The 21,378-nt window shown below is 37.4% G+C and overlaps 1 long non-coding RNA gene across 1 annotated transcript in view, besides 1 other annotated feature; it reads left to right on the plus strand.

Moving 5' to 3' along the window:
• B4GALT4-AS1 (B4GALT4 antisense RNA 1) overlaps window positions 1-21,378 on the plus strand; it is a 64,181-nt gene that overhangs the window by 22,194 nt on the left and 20,609 nt on the right. The window lies entirely within an intron of this gene.
• Window positions 8,015-8,753: an enhancer, noted in NCBI's record as "H3K27ac hESC enhancer chr3:118975541-118976279 (GRCh37/hg19 assembly coordinates)". NCBI's record gives its function as "activates a minimal SCP1, AML or CMV promoter by ChIP-STARR-seq in primed H9 embryonic stem cells {active_cell/tissue: H9 hESC(primed)}" and the evidence as "EXISTENCE:reporter gene assay evidence [ECO:0000049][PMID:30033119]".

A 21,378-nucleotide genomic window follows, 5' to 3' on the forward strand; every position in this document is an offset into this window, starting at 1 on the left:
TTAAAGCATAGATCTCACAAGGCCTATAACGCAATAACACAATTAAAAAAAAGTATTTAGGCAACAGCTAAAATGATGAATAGAGCAGTACCTCACATCTCAATACTAATGTTGAATGTAATGGCCTAAATGCTCCACTTAAAAGATACAGCATGGTGAAATGGATAAAAATCCACCAACCAAGTATCTACTGTTTTCAGGAGACTCACTGAACACATAGGGACTCACATAAACTTAAGGTAAAGGGGTAGAAAAAGATATTTCACCAAATGGAAATCAAAAGCAAGCAGGAGTAGCTATTCTTATATCAGACAAAACAGATTTTAAAGTAACAGCTGTAAAAATAGGCAAAGAAAGACGTTATATAACAATAAAACAATTAGTCCAACCGGAAGATATTACAATTCTACATATATATGCACCTGACACTGGAGCTCCCAAATTTATAAAACAATTACTACTAGACCTAAGAAATGGGATAGACAGTAACACAATAATAATGGAGGACTTCAATACTCCGCTGACAGCACTAGCCAGGTCATCAAGACAGAAATTCAACAAAGAAACAATGTACTTAAACTATACTGTAGAACAAATGAACTTAACAGATATTTACAGAACATTCTGCCCAACAACTCCAGAATATACAATACATTCTTCTCATCAGCACATAGAATATTCTCCAAGACAGTCCATATGATAGGCCATGAAACAAGTCTCAATAAATTTAAGAAAACTGAAATCATATCAAGTAGCTCCACAGACCATAATGGAATAAAACTGGAAATTAACTCCAAAAGGAACTCTCAAAACTAGACAACTACCTGGAAATTAAATAATCTGTTCTTGAATGATCTTTGGGTAACAATGAAATCAAGATAGGAATTTAAAAATTATTTGAACTGAATGATAATAGTGACACAATTTATCCAAACCTCTGGGATACAGCAAAAGTGGTGTTAAGAGGAAAGTTCATAGCATTAAATACCTACATTGAAAAGTCTGAAAGAGCACAAATAGACAACCTAATGTCATACCTCAAGGAACTAAAGAAACAAGAACAAACTAACCCAAACCCAGCAGAAGAAAATAAATAACAATGATCAGAGCAGAACAAATGAAACTGAAACAACAAAAACAAAAATACAAAAGGTAAATAAAACAAAAACCTAGTTCTTTGAAATAATAAACAAAATTGATAGACCATTAGTGAGATTAACCAAGAAAAGAAGAAAGTTCAAATAAGCTCAATTAGAAATGAAATGAGAGATATTACAGCTCATACCACAGAAATCCAAAGATCATTGAAGGCTACTGTAAACATCATGAACACCTTTATGTGCACAAACTAGAAAACCTAGAGGAGATGGATAAATTCCTGAAAATATACAACCGTCCTAGATTAAAACAGAAAGAAATAAAAACTCCGAGCAGACCAATAACAAGTAGCGAGATTGAAATGATTGAAACAGTAATTTTAAAATTGCCAACAAAAAAAAGTCCAGGACCAGATGGATTCACAGCTGAATTCTATCACACACTCAGAGAAGAATTGGCACCACTACCGAAACTATTCCAAAAGATAGAGAAAGAGGGAATCCTCCCTAATCATTCTATGAATCCAGTATTACCCTAATATCAAAATCAGGAAAGGGCATAGCAAAAAAAAGAAAACTACATACCAATATCACTAATGAACATAGATGCAAAAATCCTCAACAAAATACTAACTCATCAAATCCAACAGCACATCAAAAAGATAATCCACCATGATCAAGAGGATTTTATACCAGGGATACAGGGTTGGTTTAACATGTGCAAGTCAATAAATGTGGTATACCACATGAACAGAATTAAAAACAAAAATCATATGACCATCTCAATAGACTCTGAAAAAGTATTTGACAAAATCTGGCATCCCTTTATGATTAAAACCCTCAGCAAAATGGGCATACAAAGGACATACCTCAATGTAATAAAAGCCGTGTATGACAAACTCACAGCCAACATTATGCTGAACGGGAAAAAATTGAAAGCATTCCACCGAGAACTGGAACAAAACAAGGATGCCCACTTTCACCACTTCTATGCAACATAGTACTGGAAGTCCTAGCCAGAACCATCCAACAAAAGAAAGAAATAAAGGGCCTCTAAATCAGTAAAGAGGAAGTCAGGCTGTCGCTGCAAGTGATATGATTGTATACCTAGAAAACCCTAAAGACTCATCCAAAAAGCTCCTAGATCTGATTAATGAATTCAGCGAAGTTTCAGGATACAAAATCAATGTACAAAAGTCAGTAGCACTGCTATACACCAACAATGACCAAGCTGAGAATCAAATTAAGAACTCAATCCCTTTTACAACAGCAGCAAAAAATAAAATAAAATACTTAGGAATATACATAACCAAGGAGGTGAAAGATCTCTACAAGGAAAAATACAAAACACTGCTGAAAGAAATCATCAACAACACAAACAAATGGAAACACATCTCATGATCATGGATGAGTAGAATCAATATGGTGAAAATGATCATATGGCCTAAAGAAATCTACAGATTCCCTGCAATTCCCATCAAAACACCATTATCATTCTTCACAGAACTAGAAAAAACAATACTAAAATTCACATGGGACCGAAAAAGAGCCCTCATAGCCAAAGCCATACTAAGCAAAGAGAACAAATCTGGAAGCATCACATTACCCAACTTCAAAGTATACTATAAGGCTATGGTTACCAAAACAGCATGGTACTGGTATAAAAATAGACACATAGACCAATGGAACAGTATAGGGAACCCAGAAATAAAGCCAAATACAGCCAACTAATCTTTTACAAAGCACACAAAAACATAAGGCGGGGAAAGGACACCATATTCAATAAATTGTGCTGGGATAACTGGCAAGCCACATTAGAAAAATGAAACTGGATCTTCATCTCTCACCTTATATAAAAATCAACTAAAGATCAGTAAAAGACTTAAATCTAAGACCAGAAATCTTAAGAATTCTAGAAGATAACATTAGAGAAACTCTTCTAGATATTGGTTTCAGCAAAAAATTCATGACTAAGATCCCAAAAGCAAATGCAACAAAAACAAAAATAAATAAATGAGACCTAATTAAACTAAAAAGCTTCTGCACAGCAAAAGAAATAGTTGGCAGAGTAAACAGATAACCTACAGAGTGGGAGAAAATATTTGCAAACTATGGATCTGGCAAAGCACTAATATCCAGAATCTATAAGGAACTCAAACAAATCAGCAAGGAAAAAATAATTCCATCAAAAAGGAGCTAAGGACATGAATAGACAATTATCAAAAGAAGATATACAAACAGCCAATAAACATATGAAAAAATGCTCAGCATCACTAATTATCAAGGAAATGCAAATAAAAACCACAATGAGATACCACCTTACTACTGCAAGAATGGCCATAATCAAAAAATAATAGATGCTGGCATGGATGTGGTAAAAATGGAACACTTTTACACTGCCGGTTGGAGTGTAAACTAGTACAATTGCTATGGAAAACAGTATGGAGATTCCTTAAAGAACTAAAAGTAGAACTACCATTCGATCCAGCAATCCCACCACTGGGTATTTACCCAAAGGAAAAGACGTCATTGTATGGAAAAGACATATGTACATGCATGTTTATAGCAGCACAATTCACGATTGCAAAAATATGGAACCACCCTAAATGCCCATCAACCAATAAGTGGATAAAGAACATGTAGTATATAGACACCACAGAATACTACTCAGACATAAAATGGAACATCATGGGCTTTACAGCAACTTGGATGGAGTGGGAGGACATTATTTTAAGTGAAGTAACGCAGGAATGGAAAACCTATTATCATATGTTCTTGCTTATAAGTGGGAGCTAAGCTATGAGGATGCAAAGGCATAAGAGTGATATAATGGACTTTGGGGACTTCAGTGGAACGTTGAAAGGCGGGTGAGGGACAAAAGACTACATATTGGGTATAGATACACTGCTTGGGTGTTGGGTGCATCAAAATCTCAGAAATCACCACTAAATAACTTATCCATGTAACCAAAAAACCACCTGTTCCCCAAAAACTATTGAAATAAAATTAAAATTAATAACAGTGTTGTTTCTCTAATTTAGTGCATAGCATTGTTTGTTAAATAGGTTAATGAATGTAATTTGAGTCTGATCAATCTTTACTCAAATTTATTCAAATTGCATATTGTATTAGTCCATTCTCACGCTGTTAATAAAGACATACTCGAGACTCAGTAACTTATAAAGGAAAGAAGTTTAATTGGCTCACAGTTCAGCATGGCTGGGAAGGCCTCAGGAAACTTACAATCATGGCAGAAGGGGAAGCACACACATCCTTCTTTACATGGCAGCAGCAAGGAAAAGTGCCAAGCAGAAAAGGGGAAAGCCCCTTATAAAACCATCAGATCTCATGAGAACTCACTCACTATCACCAGGACAGCATGAGGGTAACTGTCCCCATGATTAAATTACTTCCTACTGGGTCCCTCCCACGACACATGGGGATTACGGGAACTACAATTCAAAATGAGATTTGGGTGGGGACACAGCCAAACAATATCACATACCTTAACAATTTCAATACTGGCTCACTTAGTGTGAAAATCTGGCAAAGCATTTCTTTGGTTTCAGTTAATTCTTGTCCTGCTTGATGTTGGGTTAGTAGTTTTATGAACCAATCAGTTTCCTCATTAGACTTATGGAAATTCTTAGTCCAGTGGTATGATATTAAAGTTATCAGAAAGCTGTATTTGTCAGAATCTCTTCCATGAATCTTCTAAAAGACAAAATGCTTTAGGTATATACCTAGTTGCCTGTAACAGCTTTTAGGGAAGTATGAGAGTAAAACAATTAACTGTCTGTGAATCACAACACTTAAAATGGCCATGTTACCATGTTAAAGATTTGCTGAGAGTTCATCGTAACAACGACACAATTGACAAGGAACTTTGGCTATTTCAGTGGCATACAATATTTTAAGATAATAACTAGAATCATGACTGGACTGTAACTAGAATATTAAGACTATCAGATTTCTAGGAATTTCATACAACTTCTGGAATACATATTAATAACACATCCATACAAATATAATTCAGTGAAGGCTTAGCATCATTTCTTATTTGAAAATGCTTCACAGCTGGGCACAGTGGTTCATGTCAGTAATCTCAGCACTTTGGGAGGCCAAAGTGGGAGGGTCACTTGAAGCCAGGAGTTTGAGACCAGCCGGGGCAACAAAGCAAGACCCCATCTCTAAAAATCTAAAACATAAGTAAAGTAAAAGAAAATGCTTCCTATATAATTTAATACATAATCCTAATTAGTTTAATATTTTGTTTTATAAGGAGGGAAACAATCCTTTAAGACATTCAAGATGCCCTCTAGAACATTCTAAAGTTAGTTCAAGGGTTAAAAAACTTAATTTAGAATATGATATTGGAAAGTTGTCAAAAATGTCAGAAGGTTTAAAATAATTTTAAAAGATCACAAGTTACTGTAAAGCAATATCATAGTGACAAAATATTTTAAAAGCAAAATGCAGAAAGTTAAGTTGTAAAACAAAATGAAACAAACAAAAACCTTAGCTCTAATACTGAGAAGTCTCACTTTTCTTAAGTAATCAAAGACCTAATAAAAGATAACATGAGGCACAAGAAATTATCTTGATAAAACCCAAGTCTTTGTTTCCTAAACCAATTAACAGGTAAAGATATCTTTACATTATCAGACTAATACTCCAAGAAAATGTTATTTTAACCAAGAATAGTAAATTATAGTTTTGCATCAGTGTACTATAAATGCTAAAGCTAATTTTAGTACAGACTTTTAAATGAATTCATCCAATCTCAGCCAGCTTTGAAAGAAAGATAAGATTTCTTTCCATGACCTTTTTTTTAATTAGCTTTTTTCCCTTCCATTTTTTTCTCTCATGCTGGAACAAGCAGTCATTCTACTTCAGTACAGAATTAATTACTCCTTTTTCCCTTAACAGAAAACACACTGTCATGCCTTAGAACTTTCCTTATCAAAAATACCTTTTGTTTTTTCTATATTTGCATACGGAATTGTTTCCCTTGTGATTTCTAGTTTTCACTACACATATTAATTAGAATTTTAATCCTTAGTAATTGTGAGCAAGCATTCTGTAACACTATAACTTTTAGAAATGTGCTTCTTCATAGTATAATAGTTCATGTCTACTAACAAATTCAAATATATTTAACTTCTCTATAACCATATTAAAACAAGATGCCAAAAGCATATAACGTTAAGCCTATATTCGACAATTAGAATTTCAGCATTTTATCTTATTTGGAAATGATCTAAATATTCAATAATATCCATTTCTTAGCCTAGCAAAACTCCATTAAGTGTAAGTTACCGAAAAGACTTTATAATATGTCTATTAAAACAAATCTAGCCATCATTGAGTTATTTCCCTGTTAGTACACATATGTTAGGCAGTCATCACAAAGGCAAGAACCTAAAAGTTAAATATGTGATTTTGTTTGTTTTACTGCTGTGCTTGATATATACGGAGTAATGGACACTGTATTTCCATTTGGACATTTGTTCGTAGGTTGAACTCACAGTTCTGTATTTGTAAACATCTGGGTTAGTTCCTATACTTCTAAGAGTTTTAGGAATACTTAATTTATATTACTGCTTATTATTTAGGCAAATTAAATTATAATTAATTTAATAATATTGTTTCTTTAATTAATAAATTTGATAAATTTATAAAATTTAATTACTTTAATAATAAATGATTTGTAGCAATACCATCTGGAGGGAGAAAAATATTACACATACATACATATAAAGACTTACATAAACATACAGGCAGAAGCAGATCTGACAGGTTTTTGTCTGAAATTTTAGCCATGTGACAGGCACAGCAATACAAAACTCACTAGTTTATAAAAGAATACTTAGATCACAAAAAATTAGGTTTCCAGCCAGTGGAGCAAGATTATCCACATCGATGGCCAAAACTTTTTACTAATATTTGTGAGAGGAAAAAAGACTTTTAACATTTTTTTATTCAGCGATTTTCAGATTTCCCTTTTTTCTCATTTTGCTTTTTCTTCTTCCCCAGAGTCATCTCCCCTAAATTTGCATTTTCAAAGGGAGGGCTCTCAGGTAAGATGAGGTAGAAAATTGACATCTCCGCCGGGCGCGGTGGCTCACGCCTGTAATCCCAGCACTTTGGGAGGCCGAGGCAGGTGGATCACGAGGTCAGGAGTTTGAGACCGGCCTGGCCAACATGGCAAAACCCGGTCTCTATTAAAAATACAAAAATTAGCCAGGCGTGGTGCCGGGCACCTGTAATCCCAGCTCCTCAGGAGGCTGAGGCAGGAGAATTACTTGAACCTGGGAGGCAGAAGTTACAGTGAGCCGAGATCGTGCCATTGCGCTCCAGCCTAGGCAATAAGAGCAAGACTTGGTCTCAAAAAAAAAAGAAGAAGAAGAAGAAGAAAAAGAAAAGAAAATTGGCATCTCAAAGGCACATGCTTCAGGCTGAAAACCATCATTTTCCAAAACAAAAAAAGGTGAAAAGTACCTTAAACAAAGGTAACGTTTGTTATGTACATTTAAACCAGATTCCTTCCCCATTAAAAGAGTTTCCTATGATTCAGTCCTCTTTCTCTCCTGGTGCGGAAAGAGAGACAAACTTAAAAACTGAAATTTCCTTTATAGATGTAAATTTATCTTACAAAAGAGTCTCAAAATAACCAGCTGAATGCCAGAAATGAGTATTTTGGAGACCAATCCAGCTAGATAGGCAGCTTCCCAACCCAGTTTCTGTTTTTTAACTAGATTATTGAGTCAGATTGGTTCATTCTTTTTTTCTCTTTATAAGATTCAAAAACAGATCAGTCTGATTTTGTGTCTTTTTGTTTTTATTTTTTTGTTTTTCAGAAAATACTTTAGGGATGAATTCTAAGAGATCATCTGCTATTTTCCTAGTCTCTTTGGTCCATCCCTAAAAGAAACAGGAGTTGAGTCTTTGATATCTTCCTTGGGTACCTCTCATTTGGCCTCAGCCCTCCATTTATGGGCTTCTTCAGGTCCCCACGTCATGTGTATAAATTAGTAAAGATCAAGGAGTTCTGGATGAGATGCTCCAATTAGAATTCTAAATTTCTTAGCAAATTTCTAGGAGTTTTCCTTTGGAACACAGAAATATTTCAATATTGCTCAGAACTCCAGATTTTGAACAAGGGATAAAGGTGGTTAAAGCAGTAGACATGGTTGATCTGAGGGCCTAAATTTATAAGGCATTTTTCTGGTTTTATTTTTCCCTTTGGGATGAGAAGTTAACAGAGTGAAAAGTTTCGAAGGTTCAGAGTATGCTGAGGAAAATAAAGAGAAAGAGAGAAGTGCAATCAGAGTTAAGTCAGTCAATGTACAATTCTAAATTATTTTAGACAAGGTTGACTCATTTCTCTAGAAAAGCACAGGTTTCAAAATGGAGAAGCCCCAGGAACCTTGGATTCAGATGAACCCATTATTGCCGGTCTTCTTGTAACCTTATGTACCAGAGGCCTTTTATGGAACCCAGCCCAGTTTCTGTTGAATCCAATCTGACACAAAACCCAGTCCAACTTGTGAACCCAGTCTGGATTTAAGATGCTCAGATAAACTCAGGGATCACAACACAAGTTATGGAGCTCATATTCAATTGGGACTTGCTGATGACAACCTCCAAATGTGCAGTGAGAAACAGTGAGCATAAGGGGTTTAGGAAGATACCTACAGCTGTTTGCTCATTGCTCCTAAAGGTCGTCATCAGGAGGGCACCTTTGGATCTCACTTACAATGTAGCAGGACAAGCCGCAGACAAAACCTCTCAGACACTGAGTTAAAGAAGGAGGGGCTTTATTTGGCCAGGAGTGTCAGCAAGACTCAGGTCTCAAAAACCGAGCTCTCCAAGTGAGCAATTCCTGTCCCTTTTAAGGGCTCACAACTCTAAGGGGGTCTGCGTGAGAGGGTCATGATCGATTGAGCAAGCAGGCAGTACATGACTGGGGGCTGCATGTACCGGTAATCAGCATGGAACAGAACAGGGCAGGGATTTTCACAGTGCTTTTCCAAACAATGTCTGGAATCTATATATAGCATAACCGGTTAGGTCGAGGTTGATCTTTACCTACCAGGCCCAGGGCGCGGCATTGGGCTGTCTGCCTGTGGATTTCATTTCTGCCTTTTAGTTTTCATTTCTTCTTCCTTTAGAGGCAGAAATTGGGCATAAGACAATATGAGGGGTGGTCTCCTCCCTTAACAACACCAGATCTGTTCAAATAAAAACTTTCAACAAAGTAAATTTAACAGTTTGTTTCAGAAAAGAACAATTTATGCATCAGGCAGCTCTCAGGACCAGAAAAGGTTCAGAGAGCTCCACTCTGAAGGGGGGCAGTGAGTATTTATAGACAGAACAGGGAAGTAAAGTTCAGAAATAGCTTGATTGGTTATAGCTAGACACTTGCCTTATTTGGACATGGTCTGCACAGTTGGCAGCCTGTGATTGTCTGAAGCTCAGCTGCTTCTGATTGGCTGAGAAACAGCTATCTTATATGAAAAATGTGCTTCTAAGTTAGGTTTCAGTTTGTTTACATACTAAATTAGGTTGCAGTTTGTTATGCAAGGACTCAAAATATGTTTTGGTTGTTGTTCTTTTCTTTTTTAAAACGAGCTTTCTCTTTTCATTTTCCAAAAAGATTCAAAATATAAAGACAGCCTCAAGGCCAAATTTAATTTAACAGACAACAGATATTGGAATTGCCTGGCACAGAATACAGAAGAGCTTTTTTTTTTCTTGAAATTTTTAAAGAAAAAAAATATTTCCCTAGAGATTACTTACCAATCACAAAGGGAAACAGGGACCTTTCCTTCAGAGAAAACTGGCAGATACCACCTTAACCAAGCACTAAAGTTAATTTCACCCAAAGTAGAAATTGACATCACATCACACATGAGATGATACTTTGAGGATATAACATTATTTTATTGTACTCCTGCCAAAAATGCATACCTTTAATGAGGAAACAGACAAGCTCAAATTAAGGAACATTCTATGAAACAACTATCCCATACACTTCAAAAATGTCAGTGTCATAAAAGACATGGAAACATGAGGAACAGTTTCAGATTACAGGAGACTAAGGAGATTTTACATCTAAATTTGATACCTGGTCTTGGATTTGGAAAAAAAAAGTTATTATAAAGTACATTATTGAGAACTGGAAATAACTACATACTGTGTGGTAGATTAAAAACAGCCTCAAATTATTTAACATTCCTCTCACTGAGGAATGGGGACAGATTTCCCTTCCCTTTAAATCTTGGCCGGTAGTCTGTGACTGTTTGACAAATGTATAGTGAAAGAGGAAGCAGAATCAGCCTTGTAAAGGCTGGGCTCAGAACTGGCATAGCTTCACTTCCACTCTACTCCATTTGTCAAATCAGTCACAGACCAGTCAAGATTTAAAAGGAGGGGAAATATACCCCCATTCCTGAGTGAAAGGAATGCCAAAAAATTGAGGCTATTTTAAATCTACCATACTGTACATATTCATTTCCAATTTCCTTGATAATATACTTTATAGCAACTTTATTTCCAATCCAGGACCACACATAAAGAAGTCCCTTTAGTCTCTGTCACGGGCTGAATTCTGAATTGTGTCCCTCATCTGCTGTTCCCGGCCCCCACAATTCATGCTGAAGCTCTAACTAACACCTAGTACCTCAGAATGTGACTAAACTTTAAGACCGGGTCTTTATAAAGGTAATTAAGTTAAAATCGGGTCATAAATATGAGCCTTAATCCAGCATGACTGGTGACTTTATAAGAGGAGGAGATTAGGACACAGATAACACAGAGGGATGACCACATGGCTGTGTGAGGACCTCAGCAAGAGGGTGGCTGCCTGCAAGTGGAGGAAAGAGTATGGAAGAAACCAAACCTGTTGATGTCTTCAACTTGGACTTCCAGCTTCCAAATTTGTCAGAAAATAAATATCTGTTGTTTAAGCCACCCAGTCTGTGGCATTTTGTTATGCCAACACACTAGCACATAGATACAGTCTCGTTTAATCTGAAACAGTTTGTCATTTTCCTCGTCTTTAAGGACACTGACATTTTTAAAGTATACAGGTCAGGTGTTTCATAGAATGTTTCCTAATTTTGACTCATCTGATTGTTTCTCATGATTAAATACCAATTACGTATTTTGGGCAAGAATATGATAAAGGTAATGTTATGCCCTCAGAGCATCACCTTGTGTGGGATGCCAATTTGTATTATTAATGACCCCTAGAAGCATTCATGCTTGGAACCTTGAGCCACCATGTTGGAAGTTCCACTATCCTGAAGGTGCCGTGCTGTGGAAAGCCCAAACTAGCCAGGTGGAGAAGCCATGTGGAAAAAAAAAAAAAAGATATTCAGCCACCTCCCAGCGATTCCAGCCCCCAGCCACTGAGTCACCACAGCTAAGGTTGCAGCCATCATACAGTGGAGAAGAGCCCTTCCCAGGGTGCCATATCTGAATTCCCCTGACCTGCAGAATCATGATACAGGAATAGTAAGTTGTTTTAATCCTCTAAGTTTTGAGATCATCTGATACACAGCAATAGACAATCAAAGCAGAACATATATTAGATATATATTAGATAATATTCTCTCGATGTTAAATTTCCTGAAATTCATCATTATATTGTGGTTATATAGGAAAATTACTTTGTTCTTAAGAGTTATTTAATGATGAAATATCATAATGTCTGCAATTTACTCTCAAATGATTTAGCTAATGTGTGTGAAAGAGAGAAAGAGAGAAATGGGGAGGAGAGGGATAGAGAGAGAGCACACAAACATAGAAAAATGTTAACGATTGGTGAATCTAGAGAAAATGCATACAGGCATTCCTTGATAATTTTTACAACTTTTCAAAGACTTGAAACTTTTCAAAATAAAAAGCTGAAATGAAAAAGAGAAAATATTCAATCTCAAAGAGAAAAAGCGATGACTAGACTTCCCCTTCTGGCCATGATGAAGTAGCAGGAAACAGATTTACCATCCCACCTGAAGCATCTAAAAAAAAAAAAAAAAAAACAGACAAAGCATATAAAACAATGTTCAAAACATTTGATATCAGGCAACAAAGAACACTGATTTCTGAGAGACAGGAAACAAACAAGTTGAGTCCTACAGTTGCTTCATCTTACTACCTCAAAGGAGTTTCCAAACTGTGACAGAGGGAGGGAAAATTGAGGCAGAGCCTAGCAGACTCCCTGAATTGAAGAGACAAACCCTGGAGTCCAAGAGACCTAGGCAGCTACAGTTCATAGGACAGAATACCAGAGATAAGACAGATGCACACAGACAGAATCCTGGAGATCTTCAGGGAGTCGCCCCCAAATATGCAAGATCAATGCCTGCATGTAAGGAAAACACCCCAGGCCAGGAAATATACATATGTAAAGATTAGTGGGAACAGTTCCTGTCACTCACACTGGCCTGAGGATAATGTGCTTCCAGGAACTAGACAGGAAAAACTCATAATTGACAAGGCATTAGGTGGAGTACTGAGGATAGTCTTGCCTCAGTAACAAAGAAGAATAATCCCTACGCTGAGCAATAGTCCAGACCTGCCTAACATAGTATCAAAACAAGGCCCAAAAGAGGCTGGGTGCGGTGGCTCACGCCTGTAATCTCAGCACTTTGGGAGGCCAAGGCGGGCGGATCACAAGGTCAGGAGATCGAGACCATCCTGGCTAACATGGTGAAACCCCGTCTCTACTAAAAATACAAAAAATTAGCCAGGCGTGGTGGCACATGCCTGTAGTCTCAGCTACTTGGGTGGCTGAGGCGGAGCTTGCAGTGAGCCAAGATCGTGCCACTGCACTCCAGTCTGGGTGACAGAGTGAGACTCTGTCTAAAAAAAAAAAAAAAAAAAAAAAGACCCAAAAGGATAAAACTTTATCCAAGTAATTTAAGTGTCTCCCAGAACAAAGCTCAAGAAGATTTATATAAATGCAATAATATCTAGCACACAAGATAAAATTCACAATATCTAGCATTCAAAGATTACCAGGCACACAAAGAGACAGGAAAACATAATCAATAGTGAAGACAATAATCAATTGAAAGCAACCCAGAGCTGACGTAGATGTTAGAATTCACAGAGGACAGTAAGACAGTTAATTTCATTGTATTTCATATATTCAAAAAGTTAGAAACATTTAAGTGTAAAGAAAAACCCAAATTGAACTTGTAGAGATGAAAAGATCCATGACAACAATAACATACATGCCAAAAGAGAAGAAATGGAAGTATACTATTGTAAGATTCCTATACTACATGGGAAGGTTTTACACAATGTGAGTATAATACAACTTTAAGGTAGACTGTGATAGATAAACATGTACAGGCATACCTCAGACATACTGCAGATTCAGTTCCAGACCACTGCAATAAAGCAAATATTGCAATAAAGTATGTCACACAATTTCTTTTGTTTTTCAGTGCATATGAAAAGGTATGTTTATACTATACCATAGTCTGTTAAGCGTGCAATAGCATTATGTCTAATGAAACAATGTACATACCTTAATTTTAAAATACTTTATTGCTAAAAATGCTAGTGGAGTGAGCTGAGCACATGCTGTAGGGAAAATGGTGCCAATAAATTTGCTTGGTACAGGTTTACCACAAACAAAAACAAAAAACACAGTATCGGATAAGCACAGTGGCTCATGTCTGTAATCCCAGCACACTTTGGGAGGCCGAGGAGGGCAGATCACCTGAGGTCAGGAGTTCAAGACCAGCCTGGCCAACATGGAGAAACCCTGTCTCTACTAAAAATACAAAAATTAGCCGGGTGTGATGGCAGGCACCTGTAATCCCAGCTACTCCTACTCGGGAGGCTGAGGCAGGAGAATCACTTGAACCCGGCAGGCAGAGGTTGCAGTGAGCCAAGATCACACCATTGCACTCCAGCCTGGGCAACAGAGCAAGACTTGGTCTCAAAAAAATAAAAAAAAAACCACAATATCTGTGACATGCAATAAAGCAAAGTGCAATAAAATGATATATGCCTATATACTATAAACCCTTGAGCACCACTAAAAAAAACAAAATAAATAATTATAGCTAATGTGGCAATGAAAGGGATAAAACAAAATCATTTAAAAATTGATTAGTTCAAAAGAAGGTAGCAAAAGAGAAAAACTGGAACAAATAACAGATGGGACAAATAGAAAACAAATAGCAGGATGACATGTCAAACCTAACATTAATAATCAAATTAATGTAAATAGTGTAAACACCCTGATTAAAAGGCAGAGATTGTCAGATTAGATTAAAAAAGACCCAACTGTATGCTGCCTACAAAAGCATACTATAAATATAAAAGTAATATAATAAATAGATTAAAAGAATGGAAAGGGCTATACAATGCTAACACTAGTCAAAAGAAACAAGACAGGCTACTTTAAAATCAGACAAAATAAATTGCAGAGCAAACAATATTGTCAAGGATAAAAATCATTTTATAATGATAAGAGGTAAATTTATCAAGAGGAAATAATAATCCTAGACACTTATGAGCCTAATAACAAAGCTTCAATATACATAAAGTAAAAACTATTAGAACTACACAAGGAAATAGACAAATGCACAATTATAGTTAGAGATTTCAACATACCTATTTCAATAGTTGCTAGAGTAAGTATAAAGAAAATAAGTGAGATTATAGAAGATTTGAACAATACTATTAACACTTGACCTGATTGACAATTTTATAATACTGTACCCAGAAATAGCAGAATACACACTTTTCTCAAGTGCACAGAGAACTCTTCTGGGTTACAAAACAAGATTCAATAAATTCAAAGGAATTAAAGTTTTACAAAGTATATCCTCTGACCACAGAGGAATTAAATTAGAAATCAATAATAGAAATATCTTTGGAAAATCCACAAATATTTAACAACAAAACAACACCCTTCTAAGTAACCCAGAGATGAAAGAACTCAAAAGAGAAATCAAAAAATATTTTGAACTGAATGAAAGTGAAAACACAATATATCAGAAATTGTAGATGCCACTAAAGCAGTCTCTAAGAGAAAATTTATAGCATTAAATGTCTATGTTAGAAAAGAAAAAAGTTCTCAAAGCAATGATCTCAGTGTCTACTATACAAAATTAGAAAGAGAAGACCAAATTAGACATGAAGTAAGCAGAAGGAAGGAAGTAATAAAGATCAAAGTAGAAATTAATGAAATAGAAAAGAGAAACTCAATAGAAGAAATCAAAAAAGGCAGGGCACGGTGGCTCATGCCTGTAATCCCAACATTTTGGGAGGCCAAAGCAGGCAGATTGCTTGAGCGCAGGAGTTCGAGACCAACTTAGGCAACATTGTGAAACCCTGTGTCTACAAAAAATACAAAAATTAGTTGGGTGTGGTGGTGCACACCTGTAGTCCCAGCTACTCAAGAGGCTGAGGTGGGAGGATGGCTTGAATCCAGAAGTTGGAGGTTGCAGTGAGCCGAGATCATACCACTGCACTCCAGTCTGGGCAAAAGAGCCAGATCCTATCTCAAAAAGAAGAGAAGAGAGGAGAAGAAAAGAGAAGAGAAAATCTGGTTCTTGAGAGGATCAATAAATATATTAAGCTCTTAAAGGACTGATCAGGACAAAAGAGAAAATACACAAATTACTCATATCAGGAATGAGAGAAGCAACATCACTATAGCTTCTACAGATACTAAAAAGATAAGAGAATTATGAATAATTTTATGCCAGTGAATTCCATAATTTGGATAAAATGGACACATTCTTGAAAGATATAAATTATTGAAGTTCACTCAAGAAGAAATAGGCTGAGCACGGTGGCTCATGCCTGTAATCCCAGCACTTTGGGAGGCTGAGGCAGGTGGATCGCCTGAGGTCAGGAGTTTGAGTCCAGCCTGGCCAACATGGCGAAATCCCATCTCTAATAAAAATACAAAAACTAGCCAGGCGTGGTGGCACGCGCCTGTAATCCCAGCTATTCAAGAGGCTGAGACAGGAAAATTGCTTGAACCTGGGAGGCGGAGGTTGCAGTGAGCTGAGATTGAGATCATGCCACTGTATTCCAGCCTGGGCAACAGAGTGAGACTCTGTCTCAGAAAAAAAAAAAAAAAAAAAGAAGAGAAGAAGATGAGGAAGAAGAAATAGACAACCTAAACAGCTCTATATCTCTCTTAAGGAAATTTAAATTATAGGTAAAAGCCTTCCCACAAAGAAAACTCCAGGTCCCAGATAGCTAGTGAATTCCACAAACAGTTAAAGAAGAAATACCCAGGCATGGTGTCTTACACCTGTGGTTCCCGGAATTTGGGAAGTTGAAGTGGAAGGATGGCTTGAGTCCAGGAGTTCAAGGTTATAGTGAGCTATGATTGCACCACTGCACTCCAGCCTGGGCAGCAGAGCAAGACTCTATCTCTAAGAAAGTAAAAATAAAAATAAATTTTAAAAGAAGAAATAATACTAATTTTACACAAACTTTTCCAAAAAAGTTAAAGAGAAGAAAATACTTCCCAACTCACTCTGAGCCCAACATTATCCTGATACCAAAGCCAGTCAAAAACATTATAAGAAATGAAAACTAAAGACCAATATCTTTCTTGTACATACATATAAAAATTCAAAACAAAAATTTAGTAGATTGAATCCAATACTATAAAAAGGATACTACAAAGCATGACCAAGTGGGGTTCATCTCAAAAATGCAGGATTAGTTTAACACTCAAAATTTATTCAATGTAATTCATTATATAAACAAACAAAAAATCATATGATCATCTAAATAGATATAGAAAATGTATTTCACAAAATCCAATTTCCTTTTTCTGATAAAAATTCTCAGCAAATTAGGAATGTGAGAGAACTTCCTCAACCTGATAAAAGGCACTTATAAAAATCTGTAACTAACATCATACTGAATGATGAAAGACTGCTTTTGTACTAAGATCATTAACAAGACAGGGATGTCTTCTGTCACTACTTCTATCCAACATTATACATAGGTGCAAAATTTCTAAAGACAATTGTAACAAATCCAACAATGTATAAAAAGAATAATACATCACGACTAGGTAAGATCCATTCCAGGAATAAGTATTGGTTTAATACCCACAAATCAATAAATGTCATTCATCATATTTGTAAACTAAAAAGAAAATCCATATAAAACCATAGTTTTAAAAAAATTAGAAGAATCCTGATTAGAAAGGAAGAGAAAAACTGTATTAATTGATGGCACCATTGTCTCTGTAGAAATTCCAACAGTGTACACAAAAAAGCTACTAGTACTAATAAGTAAGGTTAGTGAGATTGATGGAACAAGATCAATATAAAAAAGCAAATTGAATTTCTACATATTGGCACTTACAATAGCATGAAGTCAGCAAGAAAGATCAATTAACCAGTAGTAAAATGGGCAAAATATCTGAAGGGATAATCACAGATAAGGAAATGTAAAAACATCTTTATTTTATGAAAAGAAGCTCACTCTCTTTTCTACTAAAATTAATACAATTCAAACGTCAGTTAAAACTACACTGAGAGAATCAGAGACACAGATTTTTTTAAACTTGTATTGATGTTGGTGTGGAACAACAGGCAATCTTTTAGACAGCTAGTGAGAATGTAAATTAGTTTAACTTTTGTCAAGGACAATTTGTCAATATTATTAAACTTTTAAAAAGCACATTGTGGCTGGGTATGGTGGCTCATGCCTGTAATCCCAGCACTTTGGGAAGCCAAGGTGGGCAGATCACCTGAGGTCAGGAGTTCAAGACCAGCCTGGCCAACATGGTGAAACTCTGTCTCTAGTAAAAATACAAAAAAAAAATTAGCCAGGCGTGGTGGCATGCACCTGTAATCCGAGCTACTTGGGAGGCTGAAGCAGGAGAATTGCTTGAACCCGGGAGGCAGAGGTTGCAGTGAGCCAAGATCGTCCCATTGCACTCCAGCCTGGGTGACAAGAGCAAAACTCTGTCTCAAAAAAAAAATGCACACCGCACCCCATAAATATATATACCTATTATATATACCCACAAAAATTAAAAATTAAAATAAATAAATAAAAATAAAGTAAAATAATGTACATTGCCTCTGACCCAACAATTCTTCTGTAGATTTTTTTTTCTACAGATATTCAAGCATATGTGTCTATGGATAGTCAATGAAGCATCAATTTGTCATAGCAAAATCAGAAACTGACTAACGGCCATCAGTAGGCCCACTTAAACAAATTATGGCACTGATTAGGCAGTAGGTGCAGCACATGGAGGGCGAGCAGAAGCAGGTTCAAGTGTCGCCTCACCAGGGAAGTGCAAGGAGCTGGGGGGCCTCCCTCCTCCAGCCAAAGAAAGCCATGAGGGACTGTGCTATCCAGCCCATGTACTATGCTTTTCCCAAGGTTTTTGCGACCTGCAGACCAGAAGATTCCCTCATGTGCCTACACCACCAGGGCCCCGGGTTTCAAGCACAAGACTGGGCGGCTGTTTGGGCAGGCATCAAGGTAGCTGCAGGAGTTGTACCACCTGGAACCCCAGCAAGACAGAACCGTTCACTCCCCTAGAAAAGGGGCTGAAGCTAGGGAGCCAAGTGGTCTCGCTCAGTGGGTCCAACTCCCACAGAGCCCACCAAGCTAAGAACCACCGGCTTGAAATTCTCGCTGCCAGCACAGCAGTCTGAACTTGACCTGGGACAATCGCAGGTGGGGGCGGGGCATCCACCACTACTGAGGCTTGAGTAGGCGGTTTTGCCCTGACAGTGCTAAGGAGGCCCAGAAGTTCAGACTGGGAGGAACTCACCACAGCACAGCAAAGCGGCTGTGTCCAGACTACCTCCCTAGATTCCTCCTCACTGTGCAGGGCATCTCTGAAAGAAAGGCAGCAGCCCCAGTCAGGAGCTTGGAGATAAAACTCCCATCTCCCTGGGACAGAGCACCTGGGGAAAGGGGTGCTGTGGGCGCACTTTCAGCAGATTTAATCATTCTTGCTTGCCAGCTCTGAAGAGACCAGCTGATCCTAAGAAAAGGGATTCTCCCAGCACAGCACACCAGCTCTGCTAAGAGACAGACTGCCTCCTCAGGTGGGTCTCTGACCCCTGTGCCTCCTGACTGGGAGAGAGCTCCCAGCAGGGGTTGACAGGCACATCATACAGGAGAACTCTGGCTGGCATCAGGCTGGTGCCCCTCTGGGATGAAACTTCCAGATTAAGGATCAGGCAACAATCTTTGCTGTTCAGCAGCCTCCGCTGGTGATACCTAGGCAAACAGGGTCTGGAGTGGACCCCCAGCAAACTGCAGCACACCTGTAGAAGAGGGGCCTGACTGTTAGAAGAAAAACTAACAAACAGAAAGTAATAACATCAACATCAACAAAAAGGACAGCCACACAAAAACCCCACCAAAAGGTCATCAGCCTCAAAGAACAAAGGTAGATAAATCCACAAAGATGAGGAAAAAGCAGCACAAAAAATGCTGAAAATCCCAAAACCCAGAATGCTTCTTCTCTTCCAAATGATTGCAACCCCTCTCCAGCAAGGGCACAAAACTGGACTAAGAATGAGTTTGATGAATCGACAGAAGTAGGCTTCAGAAGGTGGGTAATAACAAACTTCTCTGCGGTAAAGCAGCATGTTCTAACCCAATGCAAGGAAGCTAAGAACCTTGATAAAAGGTTACAGGAACTGCTAGCTAAAATAACCAGTTTAGAGAAGAACATAAATGACTTGATGGAGCTGAAAAACACAGCATGAGAACTTCATGAAGCATACACAAGTTATCAATAGCCAAATCAATCAAGCAGAAGAAAGGATATCAGAGACTGAAGATCAACTTAATGAAATAAGGCATGAAAACAAGATTAGAGAAAAAAGAAAGGAACAAACAAAGCCTCCAAAAATATGGGACTATGTGAAAAGACTAAACGTATGACTGATAGGTATACCTGAAAGTGACAGGGAGATTGGAACCAAGTTGGAAAGCACACTTCAGGATATTATCCAGGAGAACTTCCCCAACCTAGCAAGACAGGCCAACATTCAAATTCAGGAAAAACAGAGAATACCACTAAGATACTCCTTGAGAAGAGCAACCCCAAGACACATAATCATTAGATTCTCCAAGGTTGTAACGAAGGAAAAAATGTTAAGGGCAGCCAGAGAGAAAGGTCAGGTTACCTACAAAGGGAAGCCCATTAGACTAACAGCAGATCTCTCTGCAGAAACCCTACAAGCCAGAAGAGAGTGGGCGCCAATATTCAACATTCTTAAAGAAAGAAACTTTCAACCCAGAATTTCATATCCAGCCAAACTAAGCTTCATAAGCGAAGGAGAATTAAAATCCTTTACAGACAAGCAAATGCTGAGGGATTTTGTCACCACCAGGCCTGCCTTACAAGAGCTCCTGAAGGAAGCACTAAATATGGAAAGGAAAATCCTGTACCAGCCACTGCAAAAACACAGCAAAATATAAAGACCAATGACACCATGAAGAAACTGCATCATCTAATGTGCAAAATAACCAGCTACCATCTTGATAACAGGATCAAATTCACACATAACAATATTAACCTTAAATGTAAATGGACTAAATGCCCCAATTAAAAGACACAGACAGGCAAATTGGATAAAGAGTCAAGAGCCATCAGTGTGCTGTATTCAGGAGACACATCTCATGTGCAAAGACACACATAGGCTTAAAATAAAGGGATGCAGAAACATTTATCAAGCAAATGGAAAGCAAAACAAAAAAAAAGCAGCAGTTGCAATCCTAGTCTCTGATAAAATAGACTTTAAACAAACAAGGATCAAAAAAGACAAAGAAAGGAATTACATAATGGTAAAGGGATCAATTCAACAAGAAGAGCTAACTATCCTAAATATATATGCAGCCAATACAGGAGCACCCAGATTCATAAAACAAGTTCTTAGAGACCTACAAAGAGACTTAGACTCCCACACAATAATAGTGGGAGACTTTAACACCCCTCTGCTAATATTAGACACATCAACAAGACAGAAAATTAACAAGGATATTCAGGACTTGAACTCAGCTCTGGACCAAGCAGAAATAATAGACATCTACAGAACTCTCCACCCCAAATCAACAGAATATACATTCTTCTCAGCAGCACATAACTTATTCTAAAATCAACCACATAATTGGAAGTAAAACACTCCTCAGCAAATGCAAAAGAACAGAAATCATAACAAACTGTCTCTCAGACCACAGTGCAACCAAATTAGAACTCAGGATTAAGAAACTCACTCAAAACTGCACAACTACG

Source organism: Homo sapiens, chromosome 3 (assembly GCF_000001405.40).
Source record: "Homo sapiens chromosome 3, GRCh38.p14 Primary Assembly".
NCBI lineage: Eukaryota > Metazoa > Chordata > Mammalia > Primates > Hominidae > Homo > Homo sapiens.